The sequence below is a fragment of the Homo sapiens genome, chromosome X (genome assembly GCF_000001405.40).
Source record: "Homo sapiens chromosome X, GRCh38.p14 Primary Assembly".
Classification (NCBI taxonomy): domain Eukaryota; kingdom Metazoa; phylum Chordata; class Mammalia; order Primates; family Hominidae; genus Homo; species Homo sapiens.
The window spans coordinates 23713248-23734118 of record NC_000023.11 but is presented as its reverse complement, the minus strand read 5'-3'; the positions used below and the strand labels follow the sequence as shown (position 1 = coordinate 23734118).

Sequence of the window (20871 nt, the reverse complement as noted above, 5' to 3'; positions counted from 1 at the left end):
GTATTAGTCTCTGAACTAAGTAATTTGATCTATTACTGCGTATAAGAAGATAGGTGGGGGCCAGGCGCAGTGGCTCACACCTGTAATCCCAGCACTTTGGGAGGCCGAGGCAGGCGGATCACCTGAGGTCAGGAGTTCAAGACCAGCCTGACCAACATAGTGAAACCCCATCTCTACTAAAAATACAAAATTAGCAGGGCATGGTGATGCCTGCCTGCAATCCCAGCTACTCGGGAGGCTGAGGCAGGAGAATCACTTGAACCCGGGAGGCGGAGGTTGCAGTGAGCTGAGATCGTGCTATTGCACTCCAGGCTGGGCAACAAGAGCGAAACTCTGTCTCAAACAAAACAAAACAAAACAAAACTACAAAAATTAGCCGGGTGTGGTGGCACAGCGCCTGTAATCCCAGCTACTTGGGAGACTGAGGCAGGAGAATCGCCTGAACCCGGGAGGTGGAGGATGCAGTGAGCCGAGATTGTGCCACCGAACTCTAGCCTGGGTGACAGAGTGAGACCATCTCAAAAAAAACAACAAAAAAGAAGATAGGTGGGAATCCTGTTCATATCTCCATCATAATGGCTCTTACTGGCTAACACTGATACAGCCCCATTAAGTGAATAATTGAAGTTATCCTTTTTTGTTTGTTTATATAAACCCTAGTGATTGGCACAAAGGTATTCATTTGTGCACCTTTAAAGAGACAGTATAGTTCTTTCAGGTTTTTAGGGAGCAGAGGCTTGATCCTGTCCCTGAGCTGTTTGTTGTGGCATTAAATGGAAATCTATGGATCTTTAAATCTTTTGAGTGCATGAATTGCTTTTTGTAGTTCTTGAGCTCATTGCCATAATCCGTTTCTCATATTTCTTTGTTTCATGGAATGACCTCTTTATTTTTGTTTCAGTTCGAGATAAGTTGCGGGAGATAGTAGGAGCATCCACAAACTGGAGGTATGCATCTTTGTTTTCATTCATTCTTTTCATCCCCAAGGTATTATACTACACTGTATTTAGGCTCAGTTGATGGTCTCACAGTGGGGATGGGGAGCCCTATGTTCAGAGATAGGTTGAGAAGTATTTTGCTTGGGGGAGAAGGTCAACATTTCAACATACTCATCAGATGACACCTCATTGTCATGAAAGAAGATGATTTACGTATATTCTGCATTTTCAAAGTGCATTTAGGTGTATATTACTTCACTGATTCTCATAACAAAACTTGTGACGTGCTTACGACATATGTTCCTGTTCCTTTTTTTACACATGAAACTGAAACTCAGAGATTGAATGATTAAATGTCAGGGTTTGGGACTTGAACCCAAGTCGCTAAGTTTCTCTGTTTCATGCAACTTGACTCCTTTATTGCTTCTTGTCAGTTCAAAATTAGTCAGGCCTCCCATATTGTCTTTCTCTTTCTCGCAGTATTTCCTTGTTGTAAAGTAGGATCATATCCCTCTTGGTGTACATAATTTTGAGGCTAAAATGAGATAGAAAAAACACGAGTGATCACTAGATATATAATAATCTATTGTTGGTATAGAAATTATCTAATGACTTATTTTTAAATTCTTTATATGAAAAATTTCACTTTACTAAAAGGTAGAAAGAATGAATACCTGTGTACCCACCACCTGGATTCCATACTTATTAATATTTTGCCAAATTTTCCAATATACACATATTGCCTGAACCATTTCTAAGTAAATTATAGACACCATGACACTTCAGCGTGCATCTTCAGTAAACATTTTATAAAACCAGCCTTCGCTTATCTCCAACAAATAAGACATTCTCTCATGTAATCAAATTGACAGCAATTCCTTGCTAGTATATTACTCATCCATAGTCACATTTCCTCAACTGTTACCATTTTGTGTAATAGATTACTCCTTTTAACAAAAATGTTTTTATAGCTGTTTAAAAAACATCAAGATCCAATAAAGGATTGCATGTTGCATCTGGTGGTTATGACTCTTTAGTCTTCCCTAATCTAGAGTAATGGACAGTCGTCCTTCCCCTATTCTTCCCCCATGAGCTTGACTTTAAGGAGGCCAAGCCATTTGTCTTGAGAATGTTCCACATTCTGGATTTACTGGTGTCATTTAACTCATTCCTCTATCTCCTGTAGTTTTTGTAGGGTAAACATTTCTGGAAATAATACTTTATAAGTTAAGCTTAGAAAGACATCTTAGCTAATGTTCTTATCAACATTGTCGTTCCGTATCCCCTTGTCTTTCTTTTCTCTTTCACCTTAATCTTCTCTTCTTTTTCTTCCCTTTCTGTCTCCTTTTCATGTTATGTTCTTCTTTACCTTTTGTTCTGCCTTCCATACTTCCTTTGGATATAGTCCATTTTCCCTCCTCTGTCTCTCTTTCCTGAAATTGAAGGCAGAGAGAGAGAGAGAACTGGGGCTCAAAGAATCCGAGAACTGTCAGGTGAGAAATGGGAATATAAAGTAGAGTGGCCAAGCCATTCTTTAGCATATATATTTATATGTATATATATATACTATTTTGTCCATCTCTCTAAATTTTTAATTTAATTTCAAATATTCTGGTCTTTGAGTAAACTTTTTGATAAGGGTGAATATATGGCTCATTTGGGTATATCTATATCAGTTTTAAGTTTTCTTTTTTTTTTTTTTTTTTGAGACAGTCTTGCTCTGTTGCCCAGGCTGGAGTGCAGTGGTGTGATCTTGGCTCATTGCAACCTCCGCCTCCCACGTTCAAGCAATTCTCCTGCCTCAGCCTACCAAGTAGCTGGGATTACAGGTGCCCACCACCACACCTGGCTAATTTTTTGTATTTTTAGTAGAGACGGAGTTTTGCCATGTTGGCCAGGCTGGTCTTGAACCCCTGACCTCGTGTGATCCACCCGCCTTGGCCTCCCAAAATGCTGGGATTACAGGCGTGAGACACTGCACCTGGCCTTAAGAATGTTTTTAAGCTTGAGAAATGATACCGGAAATGATCAATTTCACCAAGTGGCAGGTGGGAAGGGAGGGAAGGAAGAGAAGGTGAAAGTAGGCCCAGACCTTCTTTTTCCTCCTTTGATGGTATCTTACTGGCCTGTGTACCACTGGAATTGTGGGCTAGAACTGCTCTTGTTTTATGAATCCTGCATCCTTTCTTCTCAGAGACCATGTGAAGGCAATGGAAGAAAGGAAATTACTTCATAGTTTCTTGGCTAAATCACAGGATGGACTGCCTCCTAGGAGAATGAAGGACAGTTATATTGAAGTTCTCTTGCCTTTGGGCAGTGAGCCTGAATTACGAGAGAAATATTTGACTGTTCAAAACACCGTAAGGTAACACAGTGCTATTTTTATGTATTTGTTTTTATTTCCTTGTTTTATAACAATTTTGAAATATAATTCACACACCATACAATTCGCCTGTTTAAAGTGTACAGTTCCATGGTTTTGATATATTTAGAGAGTTGTGCATCCATCACCACAGTCAATTTTAGAACATTTTCATCACCCTGAAGTGTGTTATTTATTTTTAAAGGGAGACCAACATGATTTGCATTTAATTCACTGTTTGCTTTATTTCACAGATTTGGCAGGATTCTTGAGGATCTTGACAGCTTGGGAGGTACTGGTATTATTTTAGTCTTTCTAATAGATACCTACAGATATACATTGAATTCTGTGACTGGAAAGGGCTCTTTTATTCTTTAACCTGCACAGATGATGATATTCTAAAGTGCACAAAAAAAGAAGGACATCGGCCGGGCGTGGTGGCTCATGCCTGTAATCCCAGCACTTTGGGAGGCTGAGGCGGGCGGATCACTTGAGGTTGGGAGTTTGAGACCAGCCTGACCAACATGGAGAAACCCCGTCTCTACTAAAAATACAAAATTAGCCAGTTGTGTTGGTGGGCGCCGTAATCCCAGCTACTTGGGAGGCTGAGGCAAGAGAATCACTTGAACCTGGGAGGCAGAGGTTGCGGTGAGCTGAGATCGTGCCATTGCACTACAGCCTGGGTAACAAGAGTGAAACTCCATCTCCAAAAAAAAAAAAAAAAAATGGCATCTACTACTTCTGAATTGTCATAATTTTTTTCTTATAAATGTAGATTCCTATTTAATGGAGGTATAGTCTGAATAATCTTTCTTACTAGTAACTTTAAAAAAAGAAAGTCTTAAACTTACAGAAAAGTTGCAAATACAGTATAAAGAATTTTTCTGTGGCCAGGCGCGGTGGCTCACGCCTATAATCCCAGCACTTTGGGAGGCTGAGGCAGGCAGATCACAAGGTCAGGAGATCGAGACCATCCTGGCTAACATGGTGAAACCCCATCTCTACTAAAAATACAAAAAATTAGCCAGGCGTGGTGGCATACGCCTGTAGTCCCAGCTATTCAGGAGGCTGAGGCAGGAGAATCACTTGAACCTGGGAGGTGGAGGTTGCATTGAGCCGAGATCGCGCCACTGCACTCCAGCCTGGGCGACAGAGTGAGACTCCGTCTCAAAAATAAAAAAGAAAAAAATTTTTTGTCCCTGAATTATGTGAGAATAAGTGGCTGACATGATGCCACATCACCCCCAAATATTTGAATATGTCTTTCCTACAAACAAGGACATTCTTCTACATAACTACAAAACAACCATAAAAAATCAGGAAATTAACACTGATGTGTCATACTGTCTAATCCTCAGGTCCCATTCAACTTTTGCCAGTGGTCCTTCATAGCAGAAGGATCCAGTTCTGAATCATATGTTGATTTAATTGTCATGTCAGGACTAGTTCCTTAATCTTTCTTTGACTTTCGTGACTTTGACATGGTTCTTTTGTGTATTGTCCCTCAATTTGGGTCTGTGTGGTGCTTCCTCATGATTAGCTTTGGGTTATGCATCTCTGGCAGGAATGTCACAGAAGGGATGCTCTGTTCTTATTGTATCCTATCAAGTGGTGCATGGTTTTGATTTGTCTCATTACTGATGATATCAGCTTTGCTTACTGGATGACGATGATGTCTGCCACTGTTCTTCACTGTAAAGTTACTCTTTTCCCCTTTGTAATTAATAAGTACCTTATGTGGGGGGGGGTGGCAGGTAACTTTGAGACCTTCATCAGACTTTCAATTCATTATTTTTAAATCAGTATGGACTCAGGAATTCCTATGTTACTGAATGGACTATAATATGTTACTATCATCTATTTGATGTTCACATGATCCCAGGAGTGTCCCAGTCCCTTCAGGCTAGCTTCTGTGTGGTTTTCTTTGATGTGTCCCCATTATTCTTTGAGCACTTTCTCACTTTCTGGCACAATAAAATATTCTAGGCTCATCTTATGCTTTTCCCTGCCCCAGTCCTAGAATCACCCACATCTCCAAGGAGCCCTTTTTTGAAATGGAGAATGATATTTTGAAGTGGAGGATGATATTTTGAAATGGAGATATGTGCGTTGGGAGTGGTCATTATTCCTGGGTATCACTGCTCCCATACCCTCTTAGTGGAGGAGCTGGGAAATATATGTGCATATACGTACATATATGTTATTTCTAAATCTTTGTACAGATGTATGTATGAAAACCATGGGATCGCACTGATAGCTCCAATTCCAGTTCAGCCACCACGGGGTTCATTCTCATTTCCTTCCTTTCCATATTTGTAATTCCCTTCTCCAACTGGCTCCATTCTCCTTAATATATTGACTTATTTAATCAGTTCCGCTGTATGTGACCAATTTCCTATGGCTGCCACCCCTCATGCATCATGGATGCTCCCCTCACCTTACCTGGGCTCTGGTACCCCACACCAGGTCCCCCTCTGCAGGCTCACCCTCTTCATTGTGCTCAAGCTGTGACATGCTCTGCCATCACTCTTGCAGCCTCTCTGCAAGGATGTCCTCCTCACCGTGCTTGGATGCCAGCACCCTACTCTAGGTTACCTTACTTGCTCCCACCTAATGATATTTGGGCTGAATGGTTGGGAAAGGGTCTGAAAAAGGGTTCTAATATATTGTTTAAAAAACTATTTTTTTATAGAGATGGGGTCTCCCTGTGTTGCCCAGGTTTTTCGTGAACTCCTGGGCTCAAAGGATCTTCCTGCCTCAGCCTCCTAAAGTTCTGATTACAGGTGTGAGCCGCCGTGCCTGGCCTTTTTTTTTTTTTTTGAGACAGAGTCTCACTCTTGTTGCCCGGCCTGGAGTAGAGTGGTCCGATCTTGGCTCATTGCATCTTCTGCCTCTGGGTTCAGGCGATTCTCCTGCCTCAGCCTCCTGAACAGCTGGGATTACAGGCACCCGCCATCACATCTGGCTAATTTTTGTATTTTTAGTAGAGACGGGGTTTCACCATGTTGGCCAGTCTGGTCTCAAACTCCTGACCTCAGGTGATCTGCCTGCCTCGGCCTCCCAAAGTGCTGGGATTACAGGTGTGAGCCACCATGCCAGGCCCTAACTTTTAAAATATAGATACAAGCTTGTTGTTAAGCTTACGCCTAGCAACTACTTTTCTCTAGATTAAATAAACCCAGTTAAAAATTCTTGGCTGGGCACAGTGGCTCACACCTGTAATCCTTGCACTTTGGGAGATCGAGGCAGGAGGATCGCTTGAGGCCAAGACTTTGAGACCAGCCTGGGAAACATAGTGAGTCCCCATCTCTACAAAACCCAAAAAATTAGCTGGGCATGGTGGCATGCACTAGTAGTTCCAGCTACTCAGAAGACTGAGGTGGGAGGATTGCTTCAGCCCAGGAAGTCGAGGCTGCAGTGAGCTGTGGTGACACCACTGCACTACAGCCTGATTGACTTTGGTTTGCTTAGGTGTCCTTATATATACAAACTCCCCTGCCACTACCCTCTTTCTTGCTCATTAACTTCTGTTGATGGCCAGTCCCTTTAACCTGTTCACTTGATTCTATTCCTTCTATTTCTTCAAGGAACTGCCTTATCACTTGGCTTTCTCCCTCATTTCCTGAGCCTTTTCTCAACTTCACTTTTCCCTCAAGTTATAAACATATTCAAGGTTCTTCCATCTTAAAATGAAAAATAGGCCGGGCAGGGTGGCTTACGCCTGTAATCCCAGTAGTTTGGGAGGCCGAGGCGGGTGGATCACTTGAGGCCAGGAGTTCGAGACCAGCCTGGGCAATATGGTGAAACCCCGTCTCTACTAAAACTACAAAAAGTAGCCGGGCGTGGTGGTGCGTGCCTGTAATCCCAGCTACTCGGGAGGCTGAGGCACGAGAATCGCTTGAGCCTGGGAGGCAGAGGTTGCAGTGAGCTGAGATAGACTCCAGCCTGGACAACAGAGCGAGACTCTGTCTCAAAAACACAAAAATTAGCCGGGTGTAGTGGCATGTGCCTGTAGTCCCAACTACTCAGGAGGTTGAGGCAGGAGAATGGCTTGAACCCGGGAGGTGGAGGCTGCAGTGAGCTGAGATCGCACCACTGCATTCCAGCCTGGGTGACAGAGTGAGGCTCTGAGTCAAAAAAAAAAAAAAAGATAAGTAAAAAATCCTCTTTCCTTATAACACCTCACACTTTCTTCCTTACTTCATAGCTCACTTTCTGAAAAGAACCTAGAAAATCACCTGCTCTCATTGCCTCTTTATGCTAACTTCCTGTTAATTAAACATTTCCCGGTCGGCTGTGTTCCGGCTTCTGCTCCTCCACGCCATTGAATCTGCTCTTGCCAAGCTCGCCATTGGCCCCTTTACTGCACAGTTGAATGGATACTTTTCAGGGCTGACCTGACCCCTTTGTGGCTTCTTATATCGTCCAGCCCATCCTTGGGCTTTGGTGACATTTCCTTCTGCTTCTCTGGCTGCTCTTTTGTAGTCCCCTTTGTAGGTTCCTCTTTTTCTGTTGATCCCTTAAATGTAGGTTATCCCCAGGGTTTTGTCTTCTGCCCTTTCAAAAACTGATTATTTTTTGAATTTATTTTATTTTATTTTGTTTATTTATTTTTTTTGAGCTGTAGTTTCGCTCTTGTTGCCCAGGCTGGAGTGCAATGGCGCTATCTCAGCTCACTGCATCCTCCATCTCCCGGGTTCAAGGGATTCTCCTGCCTCAGCCTCCCATGTAGCTGGGATAACAGGCACACACCACCACGCCCGGCTAATTTTTTGTATCTTTAGTAGAGACGGGGTTTCACCATGTTGGCCGGGCTGGTCTCGAACTTCTGACCTCAGGTGATCCACTCGCCTCGGCCTCCCAAAGTGCTGGGATTACAGACGTGAGCCACTGCGCCCGGCCTTTTGAATTTTATAATTTGTTCATATTAATTAAATTTTAAGGCATTTTAAAATTTAACAATAAAATTGTTAAATCTTTTAAAATTATTTATTTAGTTTTTGAGACAGGGTCTCACTCTGTCACCCAGGCTGGAGTGCAGTGGCGTGATCACAGCTCACTGTAGCCTTGACCTCCTGGCTCAAGCAGTCCTCCTGCCTTAGCCTCCTGAGTAGCTGGGACTACGGGTGCACACCACCATGCCCAGCTAATTTTTTTGATTTTTAGTAGAGACAAGGTCTGCCATGTTGCCCAGGCTGGTCCCAAACTGCTGGACTCAAGGGATCCCCCCACCTCGGCCTCCCAAAGTGTTGGGATTACAGGTGTGAGCCACTGCGCCCAGCCCTATTTTTTCAGTTGAGGTTAAAATATAAAATTTACCATCTTTATCTTTTTTTTTTTTTTTTTTTGAGACAGAGTCTCACTCTGTCACCTAGACTGGAGTGCAGTGGCACCATCTCGGCTCACTGTAACCTCTGCCTCTCGAGTTCGAGCAGTTCTCCTGCCTCAGCTTTCGACGTAGCTGGGATTACAGGCATCTACCACAACGCCCAGCTAATTTTTGTATCTTTAGTAGAGATGGGGTTTTGCCATGTTGGTCAGGCTGGTCTCAAACTCGTGACTTCAGGTGATCCCCCCACCTCGGCCTCCCAAAGTGCTGGGATTACAGGTGTGAGCCACCGCGCCTGGCTCATCTTTATCATTTTTAAGTGTACTGATCAGTGGTAAAAACTACATTTATATTACATTTTCCTCCGTCTCTTCTCTACCCTTCCCTTCTGCCCTTTTTTGGGTTGACGTTGCAGATTCTCTATAAACTCATCTACTCCCAGTGTTTCAGTTGCTATCAGTATGCTGAATACTTACAAAGCTACATTTTCTGGCCTGCTTTTCTGAGTTTCAATCAATTTTTCCTCTTAGCTACTAGATTTATTTTTCTTTTTTAGAGACAGTCTCACTCTGTTGCCCGGGCTGTAGTGCAGTGGTAAAATCATAGCCTACTGCAACCTTAAACTTGCGGGCTCAAGTGTTCCTTCTGCCTCAGCCTCCTGAGTAGCTGGGACTATAGGCACACTGCACCATGCCTGGCTAATTTGTTTTGTTTTTTTGGAATAGGGTCTTGCTCTGTCACCCAGGGTGGAGTCCAGTGGTGCGATCACCACTCACTGTATCCTCGACATCTCGGGCTCAAGCATCCTCCCATCTTAGCCTCTCAAGTAGCTGGGACCACAGGCACACGCCACCATGCCTGGCTAATTTTTGTATTTTACTGTAGAGACGGGATCTCACCATGTTGCCTGGGCTGGTCTGGAACTCCTGGGCTCAAGTGATCCATCTGCCTCTGTCTTCCAAAGTGCTGGGATTACAGGCTTGATCCACCATGCCTGGCCTAATTTTTAAAGTTTTTTGTAGAGACAGGGGTCTCACTCTGTTGCCCAGGCTAGTCTCAAGCTCTGGGCTCACGTGATCCTCCTGCTATGGCCTTGCAAAGCCCTAGGATTACAGGTGTGAACAACTGTGCCCTCCCCAATACCTTCATTTGGATGTGCCATAGGCTCTTCAAATTCAACGCATTGAAAATGGCCCATTCTTTTCTTCCTATATTCTCTTTTTATTTTGAGACAGAGTCTTACTCTGTTGTTCAGGCTGGAGTGTAGCGGCATGATCATGGCTAACTACAGTCTTGACCTCCTGGGTTCAAGCAATCCTCCTACCTATCTCCCGAGTAGCTGGGACTACAGGCATGTGCCACCACACCTGGCTAACTTTTGTGTTTTTGGTAGAGATGGAGTCTCTGCTGTGTTGCCTGGGCTGGTCTTGAACTCCTAGGCTCAAGTGATCTTCCTGCCTTCGCCTCTAAAAGTGTTGGGATTACAGGCATGAGCCACTGTGCCCAGTCTCTCTTCTCTTTTTCAGTGACTAGTACACCACGCTTACCTATGCAAGCTAGAAAACTGAATTTATTCAAGTCTTCTCAGGTTTACCTTCTTCTTAACTCATAGTCTTTTCATTTCTACTCCTGTTGCCATAGGTTGGAGCCATCTGATTTCTTTGCTGGACAAAGACTTTTAAATGGAGTTTATTGCCTTTAGCCTATCATTCCCCCAGTGTGTCCTTTAGCAGGTGCATAGATGGAAGGATTTACACTTACTCAACAAGTATTTATTGAGCCACATATCTTGTCTGAGAGTTTGTGATACAAATTTGAATGGATCATGGGGGAAGCAGGGAGCCAATCAACATATAATCATACAACTTTTTTTTTTTTTTTTTTTTTTTTGAGACAGTCTTGCTCTGTTGCCAGGCTGGAGTGCAGTGGTACGATCTCGGCTCACTGCAACCTCTGCCTCCTGGGTTCAATTGATTCTCCTGCCTCAGCCTCCTGAGTAACTGGGACGCCACCACGCCCGGCTAATTTTTGTATTTTTAGTAGACATGGGGTTTCACCATGTCAGCCAGGATGGTCTCGATCTCTCGACCTCGTGATCCGCCTGCCTTGGCCTCCCAAAGTGCTGGGATTACAGGCTGAGCCGCCGCGCCCGGCCCAACGTATAATTATACGACTTTAAATGAGTTGATATCTGTAAGGTGCATGAACCATGCATGGCACATATAAATGCTTGTTAAAATATGGAAAGTATACAGATAACCACAGGGTGGTATAGGAGTCAAGGGTGTTATGGGGAAGGAGGGATAACTGAGTGAAATAATTGTTTCATGATTAATTAGGACAAAGCCAGGAGGAAAACAGGTAGCCAAGTCCTTGTGCTTTGTTTCTCTTTCCTGAAGATGTTTGATACTGTCAGACTCATGTGCTGAGTTCTTACTCTGATTTGGGCACTGAGTCTCTGTGGAGTGGTAACAAGCTGTCTGGTGGGTCTGGGCTTGCTTCGGGCTTTGATTTCTTCACCAAATCTTAAAATTGAGGGGGCAGTCAGATTGGAGGATCTCCCAAATCCTTCAATTTATAAAAGTGTTTGATCCTAGGATAAGATGATCAATGGAATATTAGGGGCTGGATCTTCCAAGCGAGACAAGGCTTTTCATGGATCTCAGGGAGGAAATTTTAAATGTTGGGAAATAATTCTGCCTTTTTAAAATTTGGTACACTCCTGTTTCCCTGCAGTTCTTATTTGTTACATGCACAACAAAATCCACTCCGCCAAGATGTCTCCTTTATCGATAGTTACAGCCCTGGTGGATAAGATTGGTAAGTGATATCATTTTCTATGCATACTTAGAATTCTTAGTAATTTCAAGATATTATTGAGATTACAGGACGTACTCTCCTTTTATGGGAATTTTTTTTTTTTTTGAGACGGAGTTTTGCTCTTGTCACCCAGGCCGGAGTGTAATGGCACGATCTTGGCTCACTGCAACCTTCGCCTCCCAGGTTCAAGCAATTCTCCTGCCTCAGCCTCCCGAGTAGCTGAGATTACAGGCATGTGCCACCACGCCCGGCTAATTTTTGTATTTTTAGTAGAGATGGGATTACACCATGTCGGCCAGGCTGGTCTCAAACTCCTGACCTCAGGTGATCCACCTGCCTCGGCCTCCCAAAGTGCTGGGATTACAGGCATGAGCCACCGTGCCTAGCCCTTTATGGGGAATTTTAATGTATATATGCATATGAAAATGTCTAGAATGCTGTATACCAAGATATTTATTATAATTAGGTGGGTTTTGCATGATTCCAGTTTTATTTTTTATATTCTTTGCTTTTTCTACATTTTTCAAAAACACATGTAGATTTCTTCTGCGTGTCAAAAAAGTTATTTTAGTTTTGAAGACAAAAAAGAAATGTAGTGGAATTTGCCATAATTTCTAATTGTTCATATTTACAGAACAGAAAATTTTTGGTATGACTTGGACCCTGATTGACTTCTGTTTTGCAGATATGTGTAAGAAGAGCTTGAGCCCAGAACAGGACATTAAGTTCAGTGGCCATGTTAGCTGGGTCGGGAAGACATCCATGGAAGTGAAGATGCAAATGTTCCAGGTAAATATGCGCCTGAAGATTGTCCACTGTTTAAGTAAAACCAGCTAGTCTCCATGCAAGAAAAGCTTATTTACCTATGTATCTGTAGACAGGTATGTTGCTCACTGCTTCTAGAAAAACAGTTGAAAGCTCATGTCATATGGATGGTGGGTTATTAATATCCTCCTTGTGGACAAAGCCTGACGTACTATTTGGTGTTTATATTTAATATTTATTTCTAATCATATACAAGTCCATGTTAAGGTGTTTGTTTCTGGTTCTGCCTAGGAGAATTTCACAGAAGTCTGTGTTATGGTAGGAGTGAATGGAATTGATTACTGTATTCATTTCCCAGGACTGCTGTACAGTTGGCCCTCTGTGTCTGTAGATTTCACATCCACAGATTCAACCAACCATGGATTGAAAATGTTTGGAAAAAAACAGTGAAAAATAATATAAATAAAACACAATACAGTATAACAACCATTTTTTTAAAAAAATAGAGATGGGGCTGGGTGCAGTGGCTCACGCCTGTAATCCCACCACGTTGGGAGGCTGAGGTGGGCAGATCACTTGAGGCCAGGAGTTTGAGACCAGCCTGGCCAATATGGTGAAACCCTGTCTCTATTTAAAAAATACAAAAATTAGCCAGGCTTGGTGGTGCACGCCTGTAATCTCAGCTACTTAGGAGGCTGAGGGTTGGGAACCGCTTGAACCCAGGAGGTGGAGGTTGCAGTGAGCTGAGATTGCGCCACTGCACTCCAGCCTGGGCAACAGAGTGAGACTCGTCTCAAAAAATAAATAAATAAATAAATAAAAATAGAGAAATGGATATGGAGTTTCACCATGTTGCCCAGGCTGGTCTTGAACTTCTGGCCTCATGTGGTCCTCCCACCTTAGCCTCCCCAAATGCTGGGATTACAGGCATGGCTGGCCTTAAAACAACTATTTATATGGCATTTATATTGTATTAGGTATTATAAGTAATCCAGAGATAATTTAAAGTACACAGGAGGAGGTGCATAGGTTTTATGTAAATATGACCCCATTTTATATAGGGGAGTTGAGCATCTGTGGATTTTGGTATTGGCGGGTGGTGGTAGGGAGTTCTGGAACCAATCCTGCGTGGATTCCAAGGGGCAGCGGTACCACAAAGTACCATAAACTGGTGGCATAAAAACAGAAAATGTATTGACTCACAGTTTGGAGGCTACGAATCCAAAATCAAGGTGTCAGCAGAGGCATGTTCCCTCTAAAACCTGTAAGAGAGAAGCCTTCCTTGTCTGTTTCTTGCTTCTGGTGGTTTGCTGGCAATCCCTAGCGTTCCTTGGCTTCCAGCTGTAGCACTTCATTCAGTCTCTGCCTCCGTCATCACATGGTGTTCTCTCATGTGTCTCTGTCTCTCTGGTGTCTCTTGTCAGGATGCTGCTAATCATACTGGATTAAGGGCCCACGCTACTCCGGCATGACCTCATCTTAACTAATTATGTCTGCAACGACTCTATTTCCAAATACAGTCACGTTCACAGTTATGGGGGTTAGGATTTCCACATGTCTTTTTGGGGGACACAGTTGGGCCCTTAACAGTCATTTGAGCTATTACAGTAGTTAGGAACAGCTAATCTGATGAGTAAAACTCAGAATAGCTATTACAAACAATTGAAGAAATTTGACAAGAAAAAGTACCTCAAAGAGGATAACAACACAGAAATAAAATGATTCAGTGTATGTCCAAGATTTCATTGTGGAAAACTTATTTAAGAATGACTGGCTGGGCGCGGTGGCTCACGCCTGTAATCCCAGCACTTTGGGAGGCCAAGGCGGGCAGATCACCAGGTCAGGAGATCGAGACCATCCTGGCTAACACGGTGAAACCCTGTCTCTACTAAAAATAAAAAAATTAGCCGGGCGTGGTGGCGGGTGCCTGTAATCCCAGCTATGGGAGGCTGAGGCAGGAGAATGGCGTGAACCCAGGAGGCGGAGCTTGCAGTGAGCCGAGATCACACCACTGCTCTCCAGCCTGGGCGACAGAGCGAGACTCCGTCTCAAAAAAAAAAAAATGACTTATTCATTTATGCCAGGGTATTGAGTAGACCAGGGGTCCCCAACCCCCGGGCCATGGGCTACATAGCAGGAGGTGAGCTGTGGGCAAGAGAGAATTACCACCTGAGCTCCGCCTCCTGTCAGATCAGCAGCGGCATTAGATTCTCATAGGAGCACGAACCCTATCGTGAGCTGCGCATGTGAGGGATCTAGGTTGCACACTCCTTAGGAGAATCTAGTGCCCGATGATCTGAGGCGGAGCAGTTTCATCCCAAAACCATCCCCCCCAGCCCACCCCATTCCGTGGAAAAATTGTATACCACAAAACTGGTCCCTGGTGCAAAAAAGGTTGGGGGCCACTGCAGTAGACCTATTATTCAGATGCATTTTTTCCTGCTATGGAATGATGAAGCATTTCACCTTTTGGTGAAATAAACTTTCACACTTTCAGAAAAAGCCTGAAGCTAGCTCTGTAGTAGTTATTTGTCAAAATAAGTATTTTTTTTATTCAGTACTATATGCAAGTGATTGAATCTTTCAATTCCCATGTTTGATGTAACTGACAGTAATACTGTTTTATTTTGTTTGTTTGAGACAGTGTCACTCTGTCTCCCAGGCTGGAGTGTAGTGGCGCGATCTCAGCTTTCTGCTACCTCTGCCCCTCGGGTTCCAGTGATTCTCATGCCTCAGCCTCCCAAGTAGCTGGGACTACAGATGTGTGTCACCATGCCTGGCTAATTTTTGTATTTTTAGTAGAGACGGGGTTTTACCATGTTGCCCAGGCTGGTCTTGAACTCTTGGACTCAAGCCATCCACCCGCCCTCGCCTCCCAAAGTGCTGGGATTTCAGGCGTGAGCCACCGTGCCCAGCCAGTAATACTGTTTTAAAAACAAAACATTGCTGGGTTGCTGCTATGATCTGCCTACAGTCTTTTTTTTTTTTTTTTTTTTTTTGAGACGGAGTCTTGCTCTGTCACCCAGGCTGGAGTGCAGTGGTGCGATCTCGGCTCACTGCAAGCTCCGTCTCCTGGGTTCATGCCATTCTCCTGCCTCAGCCTCCCAAGTAGCTGGGACTACAGGTGCCTACCACCATGCCCGGCTAATTTTTTTGTATTTTTAGTGCAGACGGGGTTTCACCGTGTTAGCCAGGATGATCTCGATCTCCTGACCTCATGATCCGCCTGCCTCGGCCTCCCAAAGTGCTGGGATTACAGGCGTGAGCCACCGTGCCCGGCCTGTTCTGCCTACAGTCTTTTAAAAAATATTCTTGGTTAATTCCTAGTCTGCTCAGTGCCATGCACAGCAGATTCCTGGCACAGGACCTGCCTTTTAGGGCATCTTGACAATTTGCCTCTTGGACAAATAGGTTGAAAAAGAGATACAGGAATTATTGAGAGAGAACCAGTGGAACTCAGTGTCAGACAAGTAAACACTTTTGTTTTAAATTTGCATTCTTCACTGGCTATTTGACTAATAACTCATGACTCGAGTGATCCTTTTTATTCCAGAGAAGTGGTGTGGGGATAAGCACTCTGCCTCTGGTTTGCATAGATTTAGGTTCTAATCCCAGCACTGCTGCTTCCTAGTCATGTGGCTGTGGATAAACCACTTGTCTGAGCCTCTGTGTTCTCAAATGTAACATGAAAATAGTAACAGAGTACCATGTTATATGGTTGTGGTAAGGGAAATTTGAAAAAAACCCATTCATGTGAAGTACTTTGGTACAGTGCCTATCACACAGTAACCACTGTTGGAAATTTTTTTTTTTTTTTGAGACAGGGTCTTGTTCTGTCACCCAGGCTGGAGTGCAGTGGCATGATCTCGGCTCACTGCAGCCTCTGCCTCCTGGGTTCAAGCAATTCTCCTGTCTCAGCCTCCCTAGTAGCTGAGATTACAAGTGCACACCACCATGCGTGGCTAGTTTTTGTATTTTTTATACAGACCGGGTTTCACCATCTTGGCCAGGCTGGTCTCGAACTCCTGACCTCAAGTGATCCGCCTGCCTCGGCCTCCCAAAGTGCTGGAATTATAGGCGTGGGCCGCCGCCCCCAGCCTGGCAATAATATTAATTTATTATAAATACTGTTGAGGTGGCCTCAAATTTCTATTTTGGGCTTGACCTTCATACCCACTTTCCTGAGTGCTCCTTATATTTCTCCACCTAGACGTGCTGTTGCTACCTCAAGTTCCAATAAACAGTATGTTCCAAACTGATTGGCCCCAATTCTCATCCTCCTCCAGTCTTCCCTTTGCCAGCCTCCTGCTTCCTTTCCCATGCAGCCTTTTGCCAGGTCTTGCAAATTCATCACCCACAGCAACTCACCAGAATTCTTTCTCCCCATATCCTTTTGGCCCTGTGTTTTATTCAAGTCCTCACTGCCTCTTGTGTGAGTGCCTTAACCGTCTTTTAATTAACCTGACTTTCTCTAGCCGGACCTCTCTCTTTTAATTTTATGCATTTTTACCACATAAGTCTTCCAAAGCTGATCTTGAATCAGGTCACTTCCCTTCTCAGAAACCTTCAGTGACCATTCATTATCTCTGGATTAAAGTCTAAACTCCTTTGACTAGCCCAGGTGCAGTGGCTCACGGCTCCAATCTCAGGACTTTGGGAGGCCGAGGCAGGTGGATCTCCTGAGCTCAGGAGTTCAAGACCAGCCTGAGCAACATGGTGAAACCCCGTCTCTACAAAAAGTACAAAAAACTGGCTGGGCGTGGTGGCCATGTCTGTAATCCCAACACTTTGGGAGGCCGAGGCAGGCGAATCATGAGTTCAGGAGTTTGAGACCAGCCTGGCCAATATGGTGAAATATCCCATCTCTACTAAAAATACAAAAATTAGCTGGGGGTGGTGCCACGTGCCCGTAGTCCCAGCTACTGCGGAGGCTGAGGCAGAAGAATCGCTTGAACCTGGGAGATGGAGTTTTCAGTGAGCCGAGATAGCGCCACTGCACCCCAGCCTCGGCGACAGAGTGAGACTCGGTCTCAAAAAAAAAAGTACAAAAAATTAGCTGGTGTGGTGGCGTGCGCCTGTGATCCCAGCCACTCGGGAGGCTGAGGTGGGAGGATCGCTTGAGGCAGGGGGGTGGAGGTTACAGTGAGCCGAGATTGCGCCACTGTACTCCAACCTGGGTGACAGAGTGAGACCCCATCTCAAACAAAAAACAAAACTCCTTTGATTAATTAGGGCCCAAGGGGCTTCATAAACTAGCCCCAGCCTACCTTTCCAACTATATTCCCTTTGACTTGTCATTTATATACCTTCTTAATGCTCACCACTGGCCTTCAAGCATCGTAAGAATAGGGAGTTATTCATGTTTGCGTTCTAGTGCTTGGCACTAGTGGGTATTCATGATAGTAAACCATAACTTACATAGGTTGAGCATTGCAACTCTGAAATCTGAAATGCTCCAAAATCTGACTTTGAGCACTGACATGATGCCCAAAGGAAATGCTCATTGGGTTTGGAATGTTCAACCTGTAAGTATTGAATGCAAACATTCCAAATCCAAAAATCGAAAATCCAAAATAGTCTGGAATACAGAACACTTCTGGTCCCAAGCATTTTGGATAAGGGATATTCAACTGGGAGTGAGTGAATGAGTATAATTGCTGATGCTTTTTCTTTTGCCTGAAATTCTCGTGCTCTGGCTCTGTATCCACATTCTTTCTCCCTGTGCTCCAGGATAACTTCATGCTCAATCCTTTCCTTATTCTCCCAGCATGTAACACCTGTTCCTCAGGCCTCCTCCCTCAATACCGTCTCTTTGACTTGCTCTCCTGGCACCTGCTAGTCTCCTACAGAGCTGTGCATGAATATGTCTTTTCTCTTCCACTGCGGACTCTACTCCTCAACGATAGGACCTGGGTTTGAGTCACCTAGCTCACTTCCTGACATCCATTCATTTAACATTCATTTAGCAATCATTTATTGAGTGCCTGTCCTGTGCCAGGCATACAGCAGTGAGCAAAACAGATAAAGTTCCATTCTCTTGGAGTTGACATTCTAGTAGTGCCTAGAACCTGCCTCCTTCATTCATTGGCAAATATTGATCAGGTATCTGCTATTTGCTGGTCTTTGTGCTAAATACTAGGGATATAACTGGGGGAAAATGGTCTTTGTCCTACAGGAGCTCACGGTGCAGTAGGGAGACAGTCACATAAACAAATGGTTATGATATAGTATATCGTTATGCAGTATTTTTCAACAGGGACACTGTTGGCATTTCTGGTGGGAGCATTCATTGTTCTGCAGGTCTATCCCCTGCATTGTGAGGGATTTAGCTCCTTGGTTACCCCCCTCCATAGTAATGCCCCCCAAGTTATGTGACAACAAAAACCACTCTGTATTTTTCAAATGCCCGCCTATTAGAGTGACATCTACTTCTCTTACATTGAGAACCACTGTCAAGAGAGGACTGTTTCTATTAAGGGGGCTGAATGAAGGAGGCAAAGATAAACTTGGTCTGGGGAATAGGGATGGGGGAGGGGAGGAATGTCGTGAAGAATGAGGCTGCTGAGGAAGGCATCAGGTAAAGATATAGACAGGAGGCAGTCAACAGCCTGTTCTATCCCAGGACCTCTCAGTTGTTAGTTAGCTATGGCTAGAGAAAAAGGTGCAGGTATGAGCACAGTATTTGGTGAACAACTGGGGAGCAATCGTGGGCTCTGTTGTGGAGGGCTTTATATGCCACGCTAACAGGATTAGCCCAGGTGCTGGTGGAAGAAAGGAGGAACTATTGAAAGGTTTGAATAGGGCAGAGGCATAATGAGATTGGTGAGACTGTTCCTGCAATTGAGGGGGAGGGCAGTAGTGATGAGGCTTGTATCATTTATTGAGGAGGGAACCCAATATACTCTCAGGTTATAAATAACTTCTGTCATTACTTTATGGTATGACTTTCCTGGAAGTACAGACTTCTAGGGGATAAAGAAACATCTTAAGGCCCAGGCATGGTGGCTCATGCCTGTAATCCCAGCATTTTGGGAGGCTGAGGCTGGTAGATTCCTTGAGCTCAGGAGGTCAAGACCAGCCTGGGTAACATGGAAAACCCCATCTCTACAAAAATTAGCTGGGTGTGGTGGTGCATGCCTATGGTGTCAGCTAGTCAGGAGGCTGAGGTGGGAGGATTGCTTGAGCCCATGAGGTCGAGACTGCAGTGAGACATGATCATGCCACTGTACTCCAACCTGGGTGATAGAGTGAGACCCTCTTCCTGGGGAGAGAAAAAAAGAAACATCTTAAAACCTCAGAGGCCTATGCATTGTAAATACAGGTTGAGTATTCCTTACCTGAAATGCCTGGGACCAGAAGTGTTTCTGATTTCAGAATATTTATATTTACTGGTTGAGCATTCCTAATCCCAGAGTTCAAAATCTTGAAATGCTCCAATGAGCATTTCCTTGAGTGTCATGTCAGTGCTTGAAAAGTTTTGGATTTTGGAGTATTTTTTATTTTTGGATTAGAGATGCTCAACCTGTATTTAACTTAACCCACATAATCATCTTTGATTTTACCTCTTCTTGGGAGCTCCTGTGCCCAGCTATGAAGGCATAAACTGTGCTAGTGGTTGGCACACTACAGTTCCCTGAAACATACTAGTGTTTGTGAGCATGATGGGAGGTCCGTCTGGGTAGGTGTGCCATCAGGAGGACAGGCACGCCCTGCAAGAAGCTCAGATTCTGAGGAAAGCAGGCAAATTAAACGCTGATGATACTCTCTGTGACCCTTGCCTTTGGGTCCCAGTCTTGCACAGTTCCAAACTCCATGCCAGCAGCCCATCTCATGCAGTATACTATTTGCGTTTTGTTTGTTTTGTTTTGGAGATGGGATGTTTTCTGTCATCCAGGCTACAGTGCAGGGTCGTGATCATAGCTCAGTGCATCCTTGAACTCCTGGGCTCAAGGGATCCTCCTGCCTCAGCTTCCCACTAGCTGGTACTACAGGCATGCACCACCATGCCTGGCTAATTTTTTAATTTTTATTTGTAGTTAGAGACCAGGTCTCGCTATGTTGCCTAGGCTGATCTCGCTTTCCTGGTCTCAGGCAATCCTCTCATCTAGGCCTCTCAAAATGCTGGGATTATAGGCATGAGGTACCATGCCCAGCCCCCGATTGGACTTTGAGGTATTTTTCTCCTCTGCTAGGCCACGGGCTCCTTTGTCATCCTGCCATTCTGAGAGCCTAGTGCTGTGCCTGGCTCAGGGTAGGCCCTTAGCAGACGGTGGTTAATGAGAGTGCTTCTCTTCTTTTTCCAGTTGCAGGCTTTCTCTCTCTCTCTCTCTCTTTTTTTTTTTTCTTTTTTTTTTTTTAGACAGGGGCCTGCAATCTCGGCTCACTGCAACCTTGGCCTCCTGGGTTCAAGCAATTCTCATGCCTCAGTCTACTGAGTAGCTGAGGTTAGAGGCATGCGCCACCACACCCTGCTAATTTTTGTATTATTTAGTAGAGACAGGGTTTTGCCATATTGGCCAGGCTGGTCTCAAACTCCTGGCCTCAAGTGATCCTCCCACCTTGGCCTCTCAAAGTGCTGGGATTATAGGCGTGAGCGACTGCACCTGGCCAGCATACATACCGTCTGTTAGAATCGTGGTAGGTCTTCCCGATAAATC

The 20871-nt window shown here is 44.4% G+C and overlaps 1 protein-coding gene across 3 annotated transcripts in view; it reads left to right on the top strand.

The window, feature by feature from the left end:
• The window catches only part of ACOT9 (acyl-CoA thioesterase 9), a 42222-nt gene that overhangs the window by 9158 nt on the left and 12193 nt on the right, over positions 1 to 20871 (top strand). For all 3 annotated transcript variants that reach the window (NM_001330259.2, NM_001033583.3, NM_001037171.2), the window contains 5 exons: positions 902 to 947; positions 3133 to 3303; positions 3555 to 3592; positions 11366 to 11449; positions 12135 to 12238. In NM_001330259.2, coding sequence (NP_001317188.1) covers positions 3149 to 3303; positions 3555 to 3592; positions 11366 to 11449; positions 12135 to 12238 — 381 coding nt within the window. In that variant the 5' untranslated portion in view covers positions 902 to 947; positions 3133 to 3148. The remainder of the gene's footprint in view (positions 1 to 901; positions 948 to 3132; positions 3304 to 3554; positions 3593 to 11365; positions 11450 to 12134; positions 12239 to 20871) is intronic.